The 22,108-nt window shown below is 38.5% G+C and overlaps 1 protein-coding gene and 1 long non-coding RNA gene across 20 annotated transcripts in view; one reads left to right on the forward strand and one right to left on the reverse strand.

The window, feature by feature from the left end:
- TRPM3 (transient receptor potential cation channel subfamily M member 3) overlaps positions 1-22,108 on the reverse strand; it is a 917,912-nt gene that overhangs the window by 138,915 nt on the left and 756,889 nt on the right. For all 19 annotated transcript variants that reach the window (NM_001366143.2, NM_001366141.2, NM_001366142.2 and 16 more), the window contains one exon: positions 13,532-13,604. In NM_001366143.2, the coding sequence (NP_001353072.1) occupies positions 13,532-13,604 (73 nt within the window). The remainder of the gene's footprint in view (positions 1-13,531; positions 13,605-22,108) is intronic.
- The window catches only part of LOC105376078 (uncharacterized), a 49,773-nt gene continuing 28,376 nt past the window's right edge, over positions 712-22,108 (forward strand). Inside the window, exons 1-3 of the long non-coding RNA XR_007061573.1 lie at positions 712-4,913; positions 16,621-16,695; positions 19,888-19,985. This is a non-coding gene — a long non-coding RNA (uncharacterized LOC105376078). The remainder of the gene's footprint in view (positions 4,914-16,620; positions 16,696-19,887; positions 19,986-22,108) is intronic.

The raw sequence follows: 22,108 nt of genomic DNA on the forward strand, positions 1-22,108 counted from the left end.
TTTAATATAAAACTGGTCATGCTTGTTTGGAGGGGTCCAGAAGAGAATGATAGTAGATTCTTGTGTTTAGTGGACTATATTTATCTGGTACTTTGTCTGTATTATTTCATGCATCAAGAAAAGTTTAGTCATCATTGACTGTCCCAAACATGTCAAACATGGGGGTGGTCCTTAACAGTCGATCATGGCCATCGATGCTCAGAATGCAGAGCAAGTGTCCTGGACTCAGACAAACTGGGTTCACGTATAGATTCCATGAACTTCTAGCATGTGACCTTGGCCAAGATACTTAGCCTCTCCATACCTCAGTTTCCTCAATTGTAAGATGGATGATACTGCTAGTACCTGCCCCATTGTGGTACTTGTGAGGATTAAAGTAGTTAATATTTAGAAACATAGTAACTTCTGGGCCGGGCGCGGTGGCTCACGCCTGTAATCCCAGCACTTTGGGAGGCCGAGGCGGGCGGATCACGAGGTCAGGAGATCGAGACCATCCTGGCTAACACAGTGAAACCCCGTCTCTACTAAAAAATACAAAAAATTAGCTGGGCGTGGTGGCGGGCGCCCGTAGTCCCAGCTACGCGGGAGGCTGAGGCAGGAGAATGGTGTGAACCCGGGAGGCGGAGCTTCCAGTGAGCCGAGATCGCGCCACTGCACTCCAGCCTGGGCGACAGAGCGAGACTCCGTCTCAAAAAAAGAAAAAAAAAAAAAAAAAAAAAAAAAGAAACATAGTAACTTCTATATTAGTTGTTATTGTTGTATGTTAGATTTACTGTTATATCTATTTTTTCATGCTTAGCCAGGAGGAACATACTTTTATTATTAATGTAAGCTACTTATTTCAGAATTGTGCTGCTATCAATTTCTGTGATTATGTAATGCAGACTAGGCAGCAACTGATTTAATGAATGAAGCTGATTCATTGCCCTGAAGCAAGCCAAGAAAGAAAAGTATGATTCCATAGCCCTGCTGGGAAGTCGGCAGTGATGAGTTCCTCACAAGCCAAGAGGAGCTCAGAAGCGTTGGGATGGCAATTAGCTTACTGTGCAGATCACTAAACACAATGAGCTCTGATTCTGTGCCAGTTCTGAGGCACGAGAAAGTCACAGAGCACAAGGATGCCCAGCTTCTGTGTAACTAGGGGCTGGGGGTGACCACAGCTGCCATCAGAACTGGCTGCATGGCGCAGGGGAAAAAATAATTGACCTGGGTGTCTGAAGACCTGGATTCCAGTTCTTCCTTCAAACATCAGCAGACACCTCTCAGTTCCCTAAATGCGTATAACTCTATTCAGCTTTCAGATTTCACAGTGAGACAATATTATGGATATGGTCATAATCCCGAAAAATCTTCTAGGAATGTCCTAAGACTTGAGACTGGTGAACCCTGGTGTTCTTGGTCTTTGCAAGGACTTAAGTCTACATGTTACAGCTTTTCTCCTGGTTATGACCCTGAAACAAAGAACACCATGCTGTCATCTTCTGAGGAGAGATGGGAGTCCAGGCCCCATTCTCTCACTTACTACCTATATTAAAGAAGCTGAAGAAAGCTGAAGAAACCACTCTCTCCTGTGAAATGCCATTGGAACTCTGCTTAGGAAGAGGACTAACTTTGCAAAAATATCCTGCAAACCTGCTTATAATAGATGAACCTTGAGGGCAGGGGTCAAAATATCAGAGGACAGGGATGAACTAGAACTACTCTGTCTGAAAAGAGAAGAGGTGGTTTCATTTTTCTTTTTCTTTTCTTTTCTTTCTTTCTTTCTTTCTTTTCTTTTTTTTTTTTTTGAGACAGCATCTCCCTTTGTTGCCCAAGCTGGAATGCAGTGGTGTGATCACTGTGGGCTCAACCTCTTGGGCTCAAGCGATCCTTTCATGTCAGCCTCCTGAGTAGCTGGGACTACAGGTATGCACCACTATGCCTGGATATTTAAAAAAATTTTTGTAGACATGGCATATCACCATGTTTCCCAGGCTGGTCTCAAAATGCTTGGCTCAAGCTATCTTCCTGCTTTGGCCTCCCAAAGTGCTAAGATTACAGGTGTGAGCCACTGTGCCAGCCTGTTTAACTCTTAAGGGGAGGTGACTAATGGGAGAAGGAGTGGTGGTGGTGGTGGGGTGTGAGATAGTATGATACTGCGAAAGTCACAGGTGAAATTTCTCTGGAAATTTCTGTTGGAAGATGGGGTTTGATCATACCTACCAGTTTGCCTGGACATTCTGATTCATTCCAGGTGTTCTGGCATAATTATTAATACTGCCAACTTTCATGCCGAAGAAAGTGCCAGTTTGGAGGTAAATTATCTGGTAACCATTCCGCAGGGTTGTGAAAATTAATGATAAAACTTGTATAAACATGCTCTGTGAATTATAAAGCACTGTACAAATAAAAGGAATTAAGGGACTTAAGTTCTTTTATTGAATTCTCCTGTTAGAGACAAACAAATATGTCTAAAATTGTTATCTACTTTGGTCTGTTATTGGACTGAGATCTGTTTGGATTTCCATGAAAATAAACCTGCAAGAAAATTAATTTTATTTTAAGGTAGCTTAGCATGTGCTTAACCACTTTCTAGATTCAATTCCTTTCAGTGGTCTGTTCTGGATTCTCACATGTATGCTAGAGGTTTTCTGCTGTTTTTGTTTTTTTCAAATTTATGAGTCCTTTCAAATCTGGCATTTTACAGTTTTGATGGATTTTGAATATGGGGGATATCCTAATGCCCTAGGAATTTTTAAAACCCGTTTCAGAAGGGAAAGAGTATAAAACGATTATGTGTTAAGTATTTACCATAAAGAAGGCAGAGTAGAGTGTCCGCCCTTAAAGAGCTAGCAATAACCATGTCATGTGTCCCTTATATCAAACCATATGGGAGAGGTTTAATTGATTTCCCTTTTCACATGGAAGGGAATTGAGGCACACAGAGGTTAGATAACTTTGTTTACTGGCTACAGCCAGTAAAGAATTAGGATTTAAGGACATCTAATCTGAGCCAAAACCTGTTGATCATCCATTCAGAAGTTACAAATATATATTGAATTCCGACTCTATGCCAGGCACTGTGTATATGAGTACACTGTGGTAAGTAAAACAGGTGTGGTCCTTATTTCTAGTTTGGTGTCATCATTATCAATCAGGCCATCATCTATTAAATAGATATCCCAGATGTTTTGTTAAGTGCTTTGCTTGCATTATCAATTAAAATTGTTACAACTGTGTATTATTATTATTATTTCTATCTTATAGATGGGGAGACTGTGGCTCAATGAGGTCAAACAATTTGCAGTCAGGGAGTAGGGATGCTTTGAATATGGCCATCATCTCACTGGCTCACTGTGGTAAGTACCACATGCAGGGACTGTGGGTAGGAGTGGGAGCTGGGCTGAGAGGAGCCTAGTGGGGAAAGCCTGGAGCAACCTGACCCTTATGGAATCATTTTTAAAATAAGGAATAGGCTTTGGTCTTGGAAAAAAAGTGTTAAAAATGTAATCTCTTCACAAATTCTTGTCAAAAATAATGAAGTACAAAACCATTAAAATTAAAAAAGGTAACAGTGATTATTATAATAAACATTATATGGTAAGTAATGGTAGGTAATAAGTGATATATTTAGGTTTACTTGAAGTAAACTTTATGAGTATGACTTGAGAGAATGTCTGAACCCTGATTAGTATTCACTTGACCTAGTTCCAGTTTTTATCTGCTGAATGAAGAATGTATCCCTGGAACATAGATTTATAGGTGCTTGCATTTGAGGCAAATTTGACATACTTTGCCCCTCAGTAGTTTTATTTATTTATTCATTTTTGAGACAGAGTCTCACTCTGTTGCCCAGGCTGGAGTGCAGTGGCATGATCTCAGCTCATTGCATCCTCCGTTACCCACTTCAAGCGTTTCTCCTGCCTCAGCCTCCCCAGTAGCTGGGATTACAGGCATGTGCCACCATGTCCAGCTAATTTTTTTTTTTTTTTTTTAAGTAGAGACAGGGTTTCACCATGTTGGCCAGGCTGGTCTTGAACTCCTGACCTCAAATGATCTGCCTGCCTCGGCCTCCCAAAAGTACTCCTTTTAATATAATTGTAGAGATGTGTATTTCTTTTAGTTGCTTTTAGTCTTACCAGCATCCTTTCTTTCCCCCTCTCCTGGTTTTAGAACCTCTGTTTTCTTTGGGAACCAAAAACCCTGACATGAATACAGCTAACCCCATCTCTCATTCCACAGTCATAGGGATTCTCTCAATTCCCCTGCCACAGTGATGAATTCAGGGATGGGCATGGATCCAAGATGAGCAAATTCAAGTACTCCCGGGACCTTTCTGTTGCAGTTATCAGGAAAGATGTTTCCTTCTGATTGGGGTTTTCTCAGTTAGCTGGGCATGAGTCTGGTACTGCTCATGATCACTCTGTCTAACCTATGTACAGATTAGTGTCCAAGAGATACAGGACAGACTCTGATGACATCATTTGAGCCCTGGATGCCACTTTGCCTGAATTCAGTTTATCTTTAAACTTTGGTCATGTGAACTTACAAATCTGTTTTATTTGTTTTTGCTGGAGCTTCTTCAAATTGTGTTTCTGTTACTTGTAACTAAAACAATTCCCAGTTTCAGCAATATTCCACTGATGCTCTAACAATTTAAAAATAAAACAAGTATGAGATCACCCTTATTCTTGCCATTATATTAGATAAAACTGTGGGCATCCTAGTTTCTTCACTAAAATATTGGTTTTCTTTTTTTTTCCATTTCTTCCTTAAGTTCTGGTGCATTCAGGGTGGTACTCGTGTCTGAATAATTACTAGTTGTACTTTTGTAGGGGGAGTGATGCCAGGAGGACTTCTGTTCCACCATCTTGCTGATGTTACTCTCCCTCACTAAAACATTGTGTGTGCAACTAGGGTCATCTGGGCAGCTGGTAAGTGTGCCGAGAATTTTAGGAAGTAGACATCCAGATCTGTTAATTAGTCGAGATCCCCCAGAAGCACAGGTGCAAACACCTGTGCACCTGTGGCTTTGTAAAGCCAGGGAATCTTGTATCTTCCAAAGCCTAATGTATGCAATGTAAAGAAAAGTGGGTAGAAGTGAAGAGACATGGGTTTAAGCTTTGGCTCTGCCACTAACTTGACAAACTATCTTGAGTATCTTTCACACTCTTTGGTTTCAATTTCCTAGTCTGTAAAATGCATGGAGTAGCAAGGGGGAAAGTGGATATTTGGCTTCCAGGTGGTTTTGGGATGAGGTAGTAATAAGAGGCACATGGAAGACACTGGCTTTGGGGGTTCCATCCTGGACTCCAACTTCTGATGACCAATTTGCTTCATAACATCAAAGTTAATGATTTGAATAAAGGGGTAAAATGGACCACCAAGAAACAAGTGCATTTGAGGAAGCTTGATCTGCAAGTCAGAAGACACAAGGAAGCTAAAAGTGGCCTAAAGCAGAGAATGGCTTAATAAATACTTTTGGAAAGACTCAACACTATAAACCTTACCTGGTGTGTTTAGTCCCTAACTAAAACACTTTGCTATCCACCTACAGTTTACCAACCCACACAGTAATGTCCTAGGCACTTTTATGTCTAAAATAGATGGAAAATGTCTCACATTTTGACTTTGTAGATTGCTTTTGCACAAAATTTCATCTACCTTCATTTGTTCACTATTTAAGAGCCATAGGATGGGCACAGTGGCTCACGCCTGTAATCCCAGCACTTTGGGAGGCCGAGGCACATAGATCACAATGTCAGGAGTTCAAGACCAGCGTGGCCAACATAGTGAAACCCCATCTCTACTGAAAATACAAAAAAAATAAAAAATAAATAAAAAAATTAGCTGGGCATGGTGGTGGGCACCTGTAATTCCAGCTACTCGGGAGGCTGAGGCAAGAGAATCACTTGAACCTGGGAGATGGAGGTTGCAGTGAGCCAAGATCGTGCCATTGCACTCCAATCTGGGAGACCAGAGTAAAACTCCATCTCAAAAAAAAAAAAAAAAAAAGAGTTATAGTAACTTTGTATCTCATAAAAATGTCAACAAGTATGTCTCTTTTATTGGCCTTATGAGGGATATATAAACAGTATAAGGTTAAGAAAATAATAACATTAAAAAGAAAGCAATCATCCATGTGGTATATTAAACTGTCTGCCCACAGGAAAGAGGGGCAGCAAGTCTTGTACACATAATTAGAAATATTTTTTATTATCAAAGTTAGGCCATAATACATTCAATAAAATACATTCATGAATCATGAGGGGTTAAGCAAGGTAACTTCTCAGTAAACACTCTGGGATAAGTTAGTTGTTTATGAGAGCTACCTGATGCATGGAATTATTGGACATAAACTACTTCAAAACATATGCCAAAGTTTTACTAAGTTAACTAGGATTTAACTAGGTTTTACTAAGTTACTAGTTAACTAGGATTTACCAAGTTAACTAGGATTTAAGTTATTTTTTAAAATGAGATGAGTTAGGCAGCAAGGCCAATTGCTTATTGATGTTAGTGAAGGTTGGTGATAGTAACTCTGCATTTTCTAGTTAATAGAGTTGGGAGACATGCATTCAGAAGTCATTTCAAAACATTATATATATAATTTTTTTTTTGAGAGAGATAGGGTCTTGCTCTGTTGCCCAGCCTGGAGTGCAATGGTGCAATCATGGCTTACTGCAGCCTTGACCTCCTGGGCTCAAGCAATCCTCTCACCTCAAACTCCCAAGTAGCTGGGACTACATGCATATGCCACTATTCAGGCTATTTTTTTTTTTTTTTTTTTTTTTTAGAGACAAGGTCTCACAATGTTGCCCAGGCTGATCTTGAACTCCCAGGCTCAAGCAGTCCTCCTGTCTTGGCCTCTCAAAGTGCTGGGATTACATGCATGAGCCATTGCACCCAGCATATATATGAAATTTTTAAAAAATTTATCTACCTTTAAGTTTAGGTTTTCTTTTTTCCCCTAAAGATACAATTGTACAATTGTAATGGAAGATGGGTCAGAACATAGAGATTCTCATTATTTTGTGTTATGTAATCTAATCAACAGTATGCTTTCCTAAAACTTTTCTAAAGTCATATAAAACATACTGGCTATTCTTTTTGCATTTCAATTTCAATTTCATTTCATTTTTATTTTTATTATTATTATTTTTTGAGACAGAGTTTAGCTCTTGTCACCCGATCTGGAGTGCAATGGCATGATCTCGGCTCACTGCAACCTCCACCTCCCAGGTTCAAGTGATTCTCCTGCCTCAGCCTCCCAAGTAGCTGGGACTACAGTCACGCACTGCCATGCTCCACTTATTTTTGTATTTTTAGTAGAGGTGAGGTTTGGCCATGTTGGCCAGGCTGGTCTTGAACTCCTGACCTCAGGTGATCCACTCGGCCTCCCAAAGTGCTGGGATTACAGGTGTGAGACACTGTGCCAGGCCCATGTTATTTTTAAATTATTTTATAATTTGAACAAATTTACAAATGGATATATTAGAAGTTATTCTCCATGTATCTATAAGTAATTAAGTAGTTGATTAATTATTGATAGCATTAATTTTGTCTGAAGATCAGAAACACATAAAATAAAATGATAGGAACTATATAATTATCTCTGAAATAATTGTATGAGTTCATATGAAAATTTGATTTCATACAGTTTTTTTAGTTCCACATTCATATATCTCTTGCTTAAATACCCCAGTGATATTTCTGGTCATTTCTAAGATCAACAGTGATCAGCTATTATTCATAGCTATGTGATTTCTATAGATACTTTGTATAGATATTACCTTTGCCTGTCATAGTCCTTTGAATATATATATGTGTTTGACCTTTAAGGTTAATTCCAAAGATCGCTATCTCCTTTTTTGTCTTTTTGACATGAAAGAATTGTGGAGGTTTTTGATTACAATATGTCTCCTGCTCAGATTAACAATATGTGATATCATTCTTATTTATCTCTTAACATTTTTAAAAAAGCCTAAAGCCCATACTTTATTCACATTTTCTTAGTTTTTAACTTAATACCCTTTATTTTCTGCTCCAGGAACCCATTCAAGAAACCACATTGTTCCTGCTGTGACAATTTCTCAGGCTTCCCTTGTTTTTGATGACCTTGACATTTATGAGGAGAAACATATTGTTTTGGCACTCTCTTTTAGCTCTTTTGAAATGCTTTCCAGAAAAGAAAGCAAGCAATAAAGGTTACTTTGTCCCTGTGCCTCAGATGGACTTATTTACCAGTGAAGATTAAACCCAAAGAACACAAATTTCTCATTTATGGAGGACAGTGATCATCACATATTACTCTTCAGTGCACATGTACGAATGAAACTATACAGTCATGTGGTCTGACTTTATATTGAATCCAAGGCCTATGAGAATAGATGAATGGTGGGGGTAATTTTATTCACAGAAAGGGTCCAGAGACCACTTACAATAACTTCATTTGCTGTGAATAGATATTTTCTGCGGTTTTGGAGCCTGGAGCAAGAGGTTTATGCTGATGTATGAGGGATGCTGACAACATGGGGCTGCTGAGAGAGCAGACTGATAAACACCAAAGAGTTTATTAAGTTAACTTTGGGCTCCTCTCTTGGAAGTTTTCTCTGGTTGCTGTGATTAAGGCAGGGCCAGCTGAGAGGAGCAGGTGGACAGAGGGGTTAGCGGACCTCCCTAAATTCTTGAGTTATTCTTCTCAAAGAATCTCACTCTTGAGGTATCTGAGGTCCAGAAATAGAAATGATGTTGGGGCTCAGAAAAATGATTGATAGGCCAAACTTGCCTTAAGGCTAAACTGAAGGTCCCAGAAGCAGACTCAGAAGCGAAGTTTCTCTTTGATCTTCACCTGCCCTCCTGTCTCTCACCTTTCATTCTCCCCCAAGGCAAGCCATGGAAACTGGAAACCGTCTTCCCCAAGGCAGGTCATAGAGACCAGAACCCCATTTTCCCAAAGCCAGTCATAAAGCCTAAAGCTATTACACTAATCCCACCCCCCACCCACTTCTCCTGTCCTTCTGTGTCACAGCTGGCCATAACGAAATTAATACCCTTATTCCAGAAGAGATCTATCTCACACCTGGAAGCAAGTAAGGTAGGAGGCGGGACTTGACTCCAGAGGCAGGGCTCGGACACTGGACCAAAGTGAGAACTAGCTAAAACAGGGCCAGGGTGGAAGCAGCTTTCCATAAGACACGCCCTCCAGTGTGCCATGTCGGCTTACCATTGCCATGGCAACACCCAGGAGTTACCACCCCTTTCCAAGGCAATGACCCAATGATGCAAAAGTTACCACTCTTTTCCTAGCAACTTCTGCATAAACCACCCCTTAATCTACATATAATTAAGAGTTGGTATAAATATGACTGCAAAACTGTCCTGAGCTGCTAATCTAAGCACACTGCCTATTGGGTAGCCCCACTCTGCAGGAGCAGTAACAGAGCTGTAACGGTGCCAGAGCTATAACACTCCTTCAGTAAAGCTGGCTCATCCTTGAATTCTTTCCTGGGCAAAGCCAAGAACCCTCATGGCCTAAGTCCCACCTTGGGGCTTGCTTGTCCTGCATCAGCAGGAATGCTACACAGAGAGGCCAAGAAGCATCTGATAAGACAGGCCTTGCTGGGTTTCCCCTCTCAGTGTGTTAGCATTCCATCAGACTCTTTCTGTGTAATCATATTTCTACAGAGCTGTTCATACTTCACTGAGCCTAAGCATAAAAATGAAAAGTTTTCTGTGTATCTTCAGATCTTCATTCTGAAGGCTGGAATGTCACATAAAAATAAGATCAAACATATTTGTTATGCTTTTCTCTTGTTAATATGCCTTTGTTACAGAAGTGTCAGCTATGACCCTTAAGATGGAAAAGGGATCGCCCCCTTTCCACCCCTAAAATAAGGTAGCTTGTTTTAGCAAATAAAGATACAGCACTCCTAGTGAAGTTTGAATTTCAGGCAAATAATAAACAATTTTTTTTTTTTTTTTTTAGTATAAGTGTGTCTCAAGTAAGACACACTTATAAGTATGATAAGTCCCCACTTGGGGACATACTTATGTTCAAAAATTATTTGTTGTTTATCTGAAAATTCAAAGTTAACTGAATATCCTGGTGTGTGTGGCAGGGGCAGTGGAAGGCTAATGCAGGAGGAGAGTGCCCAGTCTCTGGCCTGAGACCACCGACCTTGTGGAGTGGTCCCATCATGTGAAAGACAAATGTGACATTGCCCATTCTTAAAAGCTACTCGAGGTCATCAGCTGAAGAAACTGTGAGCCCCTTACATCTCTGACTGAAACAACATTCTTTCTTCTTCTTTTTCTTTCTTTTCTTTTTTTTGGAGACAGTCTTGCGCTGTTGCCTAGGCTGGGGTGCAGTGGTGCAATCGTGACTCACTGCAGCCATAACCTCCTGGGCTCAAGTGCTACTCCCGCCTCAACCTCCCAAAGTGTTGCTGTTACAGGCATGAGCTCTTTTTGTCTCTCTCTTTCTTCATTTTTGGACAGACACTGGATAAGTCTGTATAATATAAATAGTATCCTCTAATACAGAATATGCAGATCCCAAGGAAAAATCAAACCCAACAGGATCAGAAACAAGGAGCAGCAAAGAAATCTTTTCCCCATGGTCACCTGATTTCCTGTCCTTTCTTGTGGCCTCTGGATCTAGGGACCAATGGGTCATTTCCTGGCTTTCTCCTCTTCCTAACTTCTGGTTCTCTCAGAAATTTCTCAGATTCCGCAGAATAAAAACTGGATTGCACAAAGTTTCTACATGCATTAGATAATTGCAAACTAAATGTAACAATTTGGTGTTAAACCATGTTACATGCCCACGCATAATTCAAAAAAAGTAGGAAGAATAATTTAATAAACTTAAGAGTTTGAAACCAATATAAGTAGGCTCTTGGCCTCCGAAGAAGCCAGCAAAAGTACTGTGCTTGATAGCCTTTACAAATCAAATGGGTCAGCAACTGAGAGCATTTCAAAGCCTTCGCAAAATAGAGTTGACACATCATAATCTTTTAATGGCATAAATTCCCATTAGCATCAACTGCTGCATAGATAATGTTCATGATGGTGATTAGAAATGTTAATTTCTTAGAGCAATCATAATTTTCTTTAATCTTCTGTGGCAGTGTTTTTTTAAACTGCAGGTTATGACTCATTAGTAGGTTGTGAAATCAATTTAGTGGGATATAATCAGCATTTAAAAGAAAAGAATAGATTGAATAGAAAATACCCAATTTCATTGCATATTGCAATTGCATATTGTCAATGTAAATATTATTTCATCTACATTAATTTCAATTTTCCAAATACATATGTGTAACTATTTGGTTATAATATAAAATGTATTTCATATGGTATGTCATACTCAAAAATGTTGGAAAACAACTATTCTATAATGCAATGAATAAATTCTAAGACTGAGCTGAAAGTGAATCACAACTTAAATTCTCACAAATTCATGAGAGAGGAAGAAAGTATTTTCAGTAGAAGATATTATAATGGCCAATATGTTTTTATCAATAATTGGATCACTTCCCCATTTGCTGTGAGTTTTGTTCAGGGTTGTAAATGTGGTGCTTCATTTCTTATCAGTGGGAAAGGGATGCGTTTTTTATCTCCATACATAAGTGAGGGCTATGGGGTCAGACTGTCTCTACCATTTAATGGTCAACTTATCTTGAGCATGTTACTGAATTGCTCTATGCCCCAATTTCCTTATTTATAAAATAGAGCCTGTAAAATCTGGTAATTGAACTATTGTAAAGAATAAACAAATGTATACATGGAATGCATCCAACACAGTGTTTGGCACATAGTAAGTTCTCAATAAATGTCAGTTACTGACATTATTACTTTAAAATATCTTTATTTGAGAATGGCAAATATAGGGTAACTTGCCTCAAATTTTTATTTTTGTCTCTGATAAGGGGAGAGTGGGGCCTGCAGTATGCTTTGTGGTTCAGTTCATGCCTGGTCCCTGGTCCCGTGATTCTTCTGCAAAGCCTTTGTATTTCTTAGTTCATTGGGATAAAATGCTTTAGAGCAGCGGTTCTCAAGCTGGACACATGATATGATTCATGGGATTGCAAAACTTCTAAGTCGCAATCAGGATTTTGAATGAATGTGCATATATACACTTGGAGAGTGGGTGAAGAGAACTGACAAATTAGTATTGTCAGAGGGGTCACATGGTATAGTGAAGAGTTAGACATACTTGGACCTAAGGCCAAGCTTGCTAATTAGCATTTTAACCTTTAGCGAATTACTTAACTTCCTGTAGCTCAACTTACTCCATCTGTAAAATGGGAATTAAAAATAGCTCCTATATCATTTGGTTGTTGAAATAAATAACGTTTACAGTATTTGTAAAGAGTTGAGCATGGTAGCACATGATGGGTCCTCAAGAGAATATTAATAGTAGAAGAAGAGTAGATACACTGGAAAATGAATGAAATAGTTGGTATTCTGAGTTTTCATTTTGGAATGCTGAATCTATCACTGAATCATTGAGTAGCCCACTTGTCCCTTCATTTATTAAACAAAACTTGATTGAATGTTGCCATGTGTTAAGGATTGTGTGAGGTGTTAAGAAGGTAGTAATGAACCAGACACATTCTCTGCCCTATCTAGGGAGATGACAAACAGGTAGTGACCAACCATGACTCTACAGCAGGCAAACAAACTATGGGGCTAAGAGAGAATGTAGGAGACATTTCTAACTCAGAACCACATTCAACAAGTCTGTGGTTTTGTTTTGTCTTATAGTTCTAGTTTGAATTTCAGCACTGAACAGGAGAAACTTCCTTCTGTTTAACACTGCAAATTAGTAGTGAAGTGTAATGTACTTAGTAAAGCACAGGAAGGATTGGATTTAATCCACAGAACCTAAAGGAAACTGCTCTTCATATGGCTCCAAGGATGAGGACAGATAGATGAGGACTTTGTAGTATTGGGACTAGAGAATAGGACAAATACCCACTTTCAAAACAAGTTACAACGCAGAGTATTACCATTTTTGCCTTGACTTCCAGGAAGCTTAAATTTAATGCTATATTATAACAAGTACAGTACCATAATTTTTTTCCTTCTCCTTCTTCTCAATGGTTTTTGATTTTCCATTTTAATATACTATTGTGTGTGTTAAGGTATTTATTATTGTGTGTATATATATCACACACACATATACTCACACATATGCCATATCAAATGGTTTTTGAAAGTAGATAGGGTAAAAATTACTATTAAATAACCTCAGATAACACTGCATCTTACATATTATGTCAGCCTTTTTCTTTATATACGTTTATAATTCATGGACATAACTAAACTGTAGTATATTTAAATCTTATAAAATTGAGTCACACTATAATATCTATTCTAGGAGAATTTAATAGCAGTAACTGTCTTACAGGAGAGACCCCTATGTTATCAATAATTTATTGTGTCATAGTATCATTTGGGATTATATCTATTATTAGGAGACATAAGGTCACTGTATTAATTCGTTTAAATTATTTTCACACTCTCTGGACACAGACTCTTTTACCTTTGAGTAAAGCTGTCAGGATAGCCAAATCAATGTCCTGGTGTCCTTCTGATCCCATCCGAAATACCGTAATCTGCAATTTGAGACAAGGTGATCATTAGCAAAGCATTTTTCCCCCAAGAGAAATTAAATCAATGAGACCACATCTGAGCAGAGACTATCTCTATATCTACAAAGTAGATTCTTAACCACAGGGTAAGCACACATAACAAGAATCCGATGAGAGAGCTCTGCAATTTATTAAGAGGGAGATGCCTCAGTAGTTTCCAAACACAGACCACTTATAGTTGCACTGTTTTGGTCATAACCATATACACCCCACTATGGTCTAATGGTCGTGTTCCCCCAAAGTGCATATGTTGAAACCTACTCACCAATGTGATAGCTTTAGGAGGTGGGTCTTTGGGAGGTCATTAGGTGATGATTAATAGTCATTATAAAATTAGTGCCATTATGAAAGGCCTCTCCCTTCCACCTCCCACCACGTGAGGACACAGCTAGAACTGCTGTTTATGAACCATTTGAATCTGTGCTGCCTTGATTTTGGACTTCTCAGCCTCCAGAACTGTATGAAATAAATTTCTGTTGTTTGTAAGCTACCCATTTTATAGTATTTTGTTTTAGCAGCCTGAATAGACTAAGACAGCCTGCTCCCCCAATAAAAAAATAAAACTATGATTTTGGGGCCCTTGCTATGAGTCAGGCATAGCAATGCATATTTAAAAATATGTTACCTTCCATTCTTTCTGGTTTTATGTAAATACATAAAATAAATATATGTATTACATGAGGAAAGATATATATGACTATGTAATCAAAACATCACTAATGCAAACATTTATATTAGATATAGATGGAGAAATTAATACAACTAAGCAATCCAGTTCCATAACTCCTAAATTGTACAGGACAGCTGGTCACAGACCCATTTAATAGAGTAGAGGATAACTTCAAGCAGAGTAAGTGGGTAAAGTCCATTACAGTGTTGGTGGAGTACATCTGACTTTGTATTTCACCCTAGAACAATGAGATTGTCACAGAGTCCATAGATCACTGATGTGGACAGAGAGTGGCTGACATAATGGAGTATCATTTTGTACATAAACAACATAGTTATGTGGCCTCAGGCATAACTCTCAACTTCTGGGGCAGTGATAACTAATGGCAGAGAAAGAGGGAAAGAAAAATTTCCAAACAATGCTTAACAATAATGAAGCATTTGTTTTCCAAGTCAGAGGAGGCTATAGAAAAAAAGCCAAAATATTGCTTGAATATCCACATTTGAGTTATTATAGTACTCAACTGTTTCATGCCTCGAGCTTATCTCTAGAATGGGATAATAATGGTGCTTATGTATTTCCAACTACATAGGAAGTAAACAATCAGATTTGCTAATCTATAAGTCTAGGTTTTATCACTATGGTAGTGAGAATAGACACACAGAACCACAGACTGTTAATTAGTTGCCTTAGAAAACTTCCAGTCCACCACCTAAAGACAAGGTAGTTTGTTTAAGGTCACACAATGAGCTAGAAGAACAGCTGTGATTGGAATTGAATAACTCTCACCTTTATAACTTGGGAAAAAATAAGGAGAGGGAAGAATAAGATAATACGAACACTTGACTCTTGTACCTGTTTACGTCCTAAGGTCAGAGACTGGGATGAGGGTAAGGCAGAAATTGCAAATTGAAATGCCTTCACAGATATTTGAACTGAAAACAATTTTTTTTGAGACAAGGTCTTTTTCTGTCACTCAGGCTGGAGTACAGTGGTATGATCATAGCTCACTGCAGCCTCAATCTCCTGGGTTCAAACAATCCTTCCACTTCAGCCTCCTGAGTAGCTGAGACTATAGGCATGTGCCACCATGCCCAGCTTCCTTCCTTCCTTTCCTTCCTTTTCTCTCTTTCTCTCTCTCTCCTTTTTTTTTTTTTTTTTTTTTTTTTTTTTTGTAGAGATGGGGTTTCATTATGTTGCCCAGGCTGGTCCTGAACTCCTGGTCTTGGCCTCCCAAAGTGCTGGGATTACAGATGTGAGCCACCATGTATGGCCCTGATCTAAAAAACTTAAAATATGAAGAGCCAAACAAACTCCATCTATCTGCTGTATTTGGATCATAGGTTATAGTTGTGATCTCTGGTAAGGGCCGTCAGGTAGAGGTGTGTCCCAATTCAATTAAATTTTCCAGAAATCTGCTTCTGCATAACTACAGGTTTGGCCAAGATGCCATCTGGACATTATCCCAAACAGCTATTTAATGCCCCCAAAGTTTCCACTTGGAAGTTGAGAGGGAACTATTCTATCCTCTGAACTCAGGAAGGGATTCCTGAATTAAGGGGAAAATTTGGGGTCCACTGGAGAAAGAACCAGGGGACAGAGGTGAAATTTTGGCTGGCCCTTTAAGTCAACTCTTTACGCCAGGGCTGGCTATGGTCTGAAAGATATTATCATGTATCATGTACTTAGCTGGCAGCAAGCTGAGGACACTCAGGATAACATCAGAGTTCATTGTTTAGAATTAAGAAATTAGGCATCAAATGGAATTCCTTAACCATCTGACTTGTTCTGCTGATGACTAAAATTTTGCTTCATAAAGATCACATTTCAGATGGAAATTCTTCCGAGGCAGCAAATAGATAAGATTAAATTTACCCTGAAATACAAGATTATCAGGTTTTCCTAGCAACACATTTAGGTTTGAGGTTGAGGAAAGGAAGATGGGTAAATGCAGTGTTTCCATAGGGTTTCTGAGGAAAGGGCCTTGGAATATTTTGGTACAACAGGGCTTCACAGTTTTTCTGGAAAACCGATGTGGGGGCAATGACTGCTCACCTGTTCATGCCCCATCCTTGTGCTGGTTTCAGAACCCAAGGACCCGGGAGTGACCCAGGGTGTGGGAGGAAGGATGCCTTAAAAAGAGGAAAAGGGAGGACCAAGGGGAGGCTGGAGGCTCCAAAGAGAAAGTTACATTATAATCTTGCCTGGACTAACCTGAGATATTATGTATTCATCACCACTCCATTTTTATTTTATTTGAAATTTGAATGTTTAAAAATATTAATTATATATTTTTCATATCTGCTTCAGAAAAAAAAAGTCAAAGAAAAACTAAGGCCTTCCTTTCCTATCACCCATCAATGTTGGCAGAGATGGAAAAAACAGGTATTCTTAAATATTCTTGGAGGGAATGTGAATTAAAATAGTAGTTTTGGGAGATGGTATGTCGACATAAAATTCCTTGATTTTGATGCATTATTCTTAGCAACACTGAATCTTATTTGCTAATACTTTATTTAGGATTTTTGCAATGATGTTTGTGAGTGAGGTTGGTACCTGTCACCAGTCTTATCTGGTTTGGGTATTAGAGTTACGCTAACCTTCTGAGTTGGGAACGTTTTCCCCTTCATGTTGCAGATAGTCCCTATAACAAAGGAATTCACCTGCTTCTGGCAGAGTTAGCAGGATGTTTATATGCTGTTTGGTGCCGGACCATTTTTATGGATAGATTGCTGATTATCTTTATAATTTCTTCAACAGTTATTGATCAGTTGAGATTTTCTGCCTCTCATTGACTCAAGTTCATGTTTTTCTAGATAATCGAGCATTTCATCAACATTTTGCTAATATTTTATTTCATCCTAAATAAAATATTAGCAAATAAGACCCAGTGTTGTTAAGAATATCAAAATCAAGAAATTTTATGTCAACGTATCAAATCCCAAAATTTCAAATTTTCACATTTATTGTTATTTAGTTGTACATAGAATTCTCTTACTGTTTTAAAATCTCTTTTATATCCAGAATTATATGGCAATGTTTTCATTCCTCTCTCTGTTTCACTATATCAAAATCATGGTCATTTCAAAGAATCAGTTTTTCATTGTATTGATCAATATTATTATTATTGTTATTTTCTGAGACAAGGTCTCACTCTGTTGCCCAGGCTGGAGTGCAATGGCATGAGCATAGCTCAGTATAACCTTGAACTCCCAGGCTCAAGTGACCCTCCCACCTCAGCCTCCTGAGTACCTGGGACTACAGTCATGCACCACCACTCTCTGATAAATTTTTAACTTTTTGTAGAGATGGGGGTCTCACTATGTTGCCCAGAGCGATCTCAAACTCTTGGACTTAAGCCATCCTCACACCTTGGCCTCTCAAAGTGTTGGGATTACAGGCATGAGACACCATGCCTGGCCCAATATTATTACATACAGTTTAAAGTATTATCTTTTATCATTATCCATTCATTTCTTCTACTTTTGCTTCCTTAGGTGTTCTTTTCATAGAATCTTAAGTTGACTTCCTAGTCAATTTATTTTTATTCTTTCTTGTTTTCTAATTAATGCATTTAAAATTATGTATCTCACATTTTTTATATGCACTGTCATTTTCGTTCATTTTTAAATGTAATTTATTTCCTTTTACTAAAAATTGTGTTTTTAATATTACAGTGGATTTATATATATCCTATAAATTACCTAATCATATACATATATATGTTTATATGGTTAGGTATATGTGTATATATATGGGTATATATGTGTGTATATACATATTAATACATATATACATGTATTAATATATGTAATATATACACATGTGTATATATACACACACATATGTAAAACCACACATGTATATACACACATACGTATGTAAAACCACATATATGTACATATACATATATACAAATAATGATATATGTGTATATATACATAGATATCATAATTTGTTGGCTGTAGAATATTTTATTATATGCATGTACCATGACTTATTTAGCCAGTCTTCCGCTAATGAACATTTGGATCAATTTTCAATCTTTTGCTATTACAAACGCCATTGCAGTGAATATCTGTATATGCACATGGGTGAGTATATCAGTAAAATAAACTTTGTAGATATGGAATTTCTTGGCCTATTAGCTACTCTGAGGGGAGTTCTTTAATTTATTATTCTGATTTTACTCTCAGGGCCCTTTCCTGTTCCCTGCCTTTATTTTGATCCTGTATGGTAACTGAAATAACTGTTCATAGTGTATACTTTTCTCCTAGAATAATTTGGAAACCCCTCCCTCCCTCCCTCCCTCCCTCCCTCCCTCCCGCCCTTCCTGGAAACTCCTTCCTCCCTCACTCCCTCTCTCCCTTCCTGCCTTCCTTCCTGGAAACTCCTTCCTTCTTTCCTTCCTTCCTTCCTTCCTTCCTTCCTTCCTTCCTTCCTTCCTTCCTTCCTTCCCTTCCTCCTTCTCTCCCTCCCTCCCTCCATCTTTCCCTCCTTTTCTCTCTCCCTCCCTCCCTCTTTCTTTTCTTTTCTTTTTCTTTTTTTTTTTCTTTTTTGAGACAGGGTCTCACTCTGTCTCCCAGGCTGGAGTGCATGATCTTGGCTCACTGCAGCCTCAACCTCCCAAGGCTCAGGTGATCCTTCTGCTTCAGCCTCCTGAATAGCTGGGGCTACAGGTGCACACCACCATGCCCGGCTAATTTTTGTATGTTTTTTAGAGACAGGGTTTCACCCCGGGCTCAAGTGATCTGCCCGTCTTGGCCTCCCAACGTGTTGGGATCACGGGTGTCAGCCACTGCGCTGGATCTGAAACACTAGTTTCTATACCTCCTTTAACATTCCAGAAATTGCTAAAAATTTCTTGTCTCATAATGTGGTATACTTTTCCCTCTCCCTTCATGATGAGCACTTATAGAATCTGCTGAGGAGATATACATATTTGTGATTTTGTCTTTTTTGTGTTATTTGAGGATGAGGAGCAGGAAGGGAGATAGGCATATATGCTCATTCTATCAAATCTCACCAATATGAATTTTAATAGAAAAAGATTTTAAATTGGGTAGAAGTAAAAGTTATTAACTTAATCATTTTGTAGGTGATTTAGTAAAGTCTGATATTTATTTACTATAAAATTGGTATTTTCAACATGCACCCTAAAACTTTTGGATGTTTGCAACTGGGTAGTTGATCTTATCAAAGCACTATGGAATACAGTGAGATTCTTCTTGAAAATCCCAAAAAACTCAACATCAAAACATTTTGTTAAAAAAACACTTTTCCTCCGAATTCAGTTTGATGGATTATATCTTCTGCTCTCTTGTGGACAGATTACCTTAGGCTAGATGGAATTTTGATTCTCACGTTGAAGAGAAGCAAAATCTTTCAAACTGATATGGTCCCCTTTTCTCCATCCCACCAACCCGCCTGCCAACCAGCTTTCCTGTGTATGTGCTTGCTCTTATTTTGTGCCCCCTTAAAAGTCAGAAATCTGCACATTGCACTTGTCACTCTCACCCTCTTGCATGTAGTTGATTTGTTATTGGGCATATTAATTGAGTATCTCTTCTGTGCCAGGCACCGTTTAGGTGCTGGGAATGGAGCAGTGAACCACACTGACAACAACTCCCTGCCTTCATAGAACCTGCCTTCTAGAAAGGGAAGACAGAGCAAAAGTAAGTAAAACATATGATCTGCCAGACAGTGAAAAGTTCTCTGCCACATGGGTTCTTCCTCCTATCTACTTCTCTTTCTCTGTCCTCATTGTCAGCCTTTGTTCAGTCTGTGGCATCTACTATTACACTCCTTTTTTTGCTAGTCTTCTTGATTCTGGTCCTGTCCATCCCTCCTTTCATTCTAGTCTCTGTGCAGCTGTTCAGGCCATCTTCCATGCCTGATTATATCACTCTCCATATTAGGACGTTTAAAGTGGCCTTCATTCCCTATGACATAAAGCTAAAAATTCTTAGCAGGGCATTCAAAGACTGCTGATGTCACACTCCCAAAACTTTAAAAAAATTATTTTTATTTCAATAGTTTTTGGAGTACAGGTGGCCTTTGGTTACATGGATAAGTTCTATAGTGGTGATTTCTGAGATTTTAGTGCACCTGTCATCCGAGCAGTGTACATTGTACCCAATATTGTACCCAACCATCCTCCCAACCTTCCCCCACAAATCCCCTTAGTCCATTATATCATACTTATGCCTTTGCATCCTCATAGCTTAGCTCCTACTTATTAGTGAAAACATACCAGACTTGGTTTTCCATCAATCCTTTCTTTGGTCTTATCTCTTGCTGACTGCACTCCCACCATCACAGCATGACCCAATCCCACGTACCTGATGCCCTAGCTGGGCTGAGCATCTTGCTCCTCTCAGGATCCTTTACGTTGTTTCTAGCCTATCTGCCTTTTTGTTCATTCAGTTCCTTGCTGAAATACCCTTCCCTCTGCTTGGTGAACAAACTAGAAGACTTTCAGTAGACATGTGCATTTAAGAAGCTCTCTTCTATAATGTAACTAGGATCCAACCCTTGCTTTCTCTTCATGCCCCTATGATTCTCTAAGCTTAAGGCATTCCAGGATGCCACTTCCAATCTCTATTTGCACACATCTCTCTGCACTGAAGAGCAGTTTATTTGCAGTCAGGAGTCCTAGTCCTTGCTCAGTAAGCATTTGTTGAGTAGATGAATTATTACCAAGTGGTTATGTTTAGGAGACTGGTTTGAAAGAAGCAAACATTAAAAAGGAGTACATTCAACACAAGAATGGTAACATAGCAAAGTGAATGTGGTGTATTAAGCCACAGACCAAGAGTTTGTCACAAGTGTCAAGAGCCAATTTTAACACAAGAGTCTACTGAACACTCTATTATTGTTCAGGGGTCAATCACCCAGTCAAGCATTATGGGATAGAAAGTGGGCTGCCTCAGGTTAGGCATTATTTAAAACATTTTTGGGGGGTGGTAATTGCATGGGTAAATGTATATTTTGCTATTATTTAAAACTATTTAAAAGACAACTGACTTTTATAACAATAATAATACATTGTAGAATTTATAACATATATAAGTAAAATATATTATAGCATTAGCATAAAGGCAGGGAAAGGCAATAGAAGGGCACAGTTTTAAGGTTTTTACACTATCGATGAATACTGAAAAGTAGACTGTGAAAAGTTAGTGTTATGCTGTAGGTCCCAAAGCAACAACTACAGTAACCATCACTAAATTACTTTAAAAAAAAAACAACAAGAGAGATGAAGTGAAGTAATAATAATCCAAAAGAAGACAGGGAAAAAGAAGTAACAAAGCACAGACGGAACCAATAAGAGAATGATAGGCTATTTTTTTGAGACTTGATATGAGTGTGACATTTTTGAGCCATAGGCAGCACCAATTTACCCTAAAGCATGTTTCACTAATACATATGAAACTTTGGTTCTATATAGTTTAAACTTGAAGACTCAAAGCAGGAATATATTATAGAAAAACCAAGCAGAAACATGGAAATAATTTTATGTTTGAAAAGAGTTTGGTTCATTTTCTGGGAAAAAAATAGGCATATTCACCACCTAAATAACAAGACATAGTATATGTGGCTGAGTTAGTCACAGACTTTCCATTTCTAAAACTCAGCAGGTCTTACAGTTAAATAAGATAAGGATATAAAAAATATTGGGACAATGAAATTGACTCACTTTCAAGGTATCTATTAATTAGCTTAATTTGTGATTTATATGTATGCCACGGTGAGCAATGAATCCATGAAAATAGAGATGAAGATGTAGTAGAGCTTT

Source organism: Homo sapiens, chromosome 9, assembly GCF_000001405.40.
Source record: "Homo sapiens chromosome 9, GRCh38.p14 Primary Assembly".
NCBI lineage: Eukaryota > Metazoa > Chordata > Mammalia > Primates > Hominidae > Homo > Homo sapiens.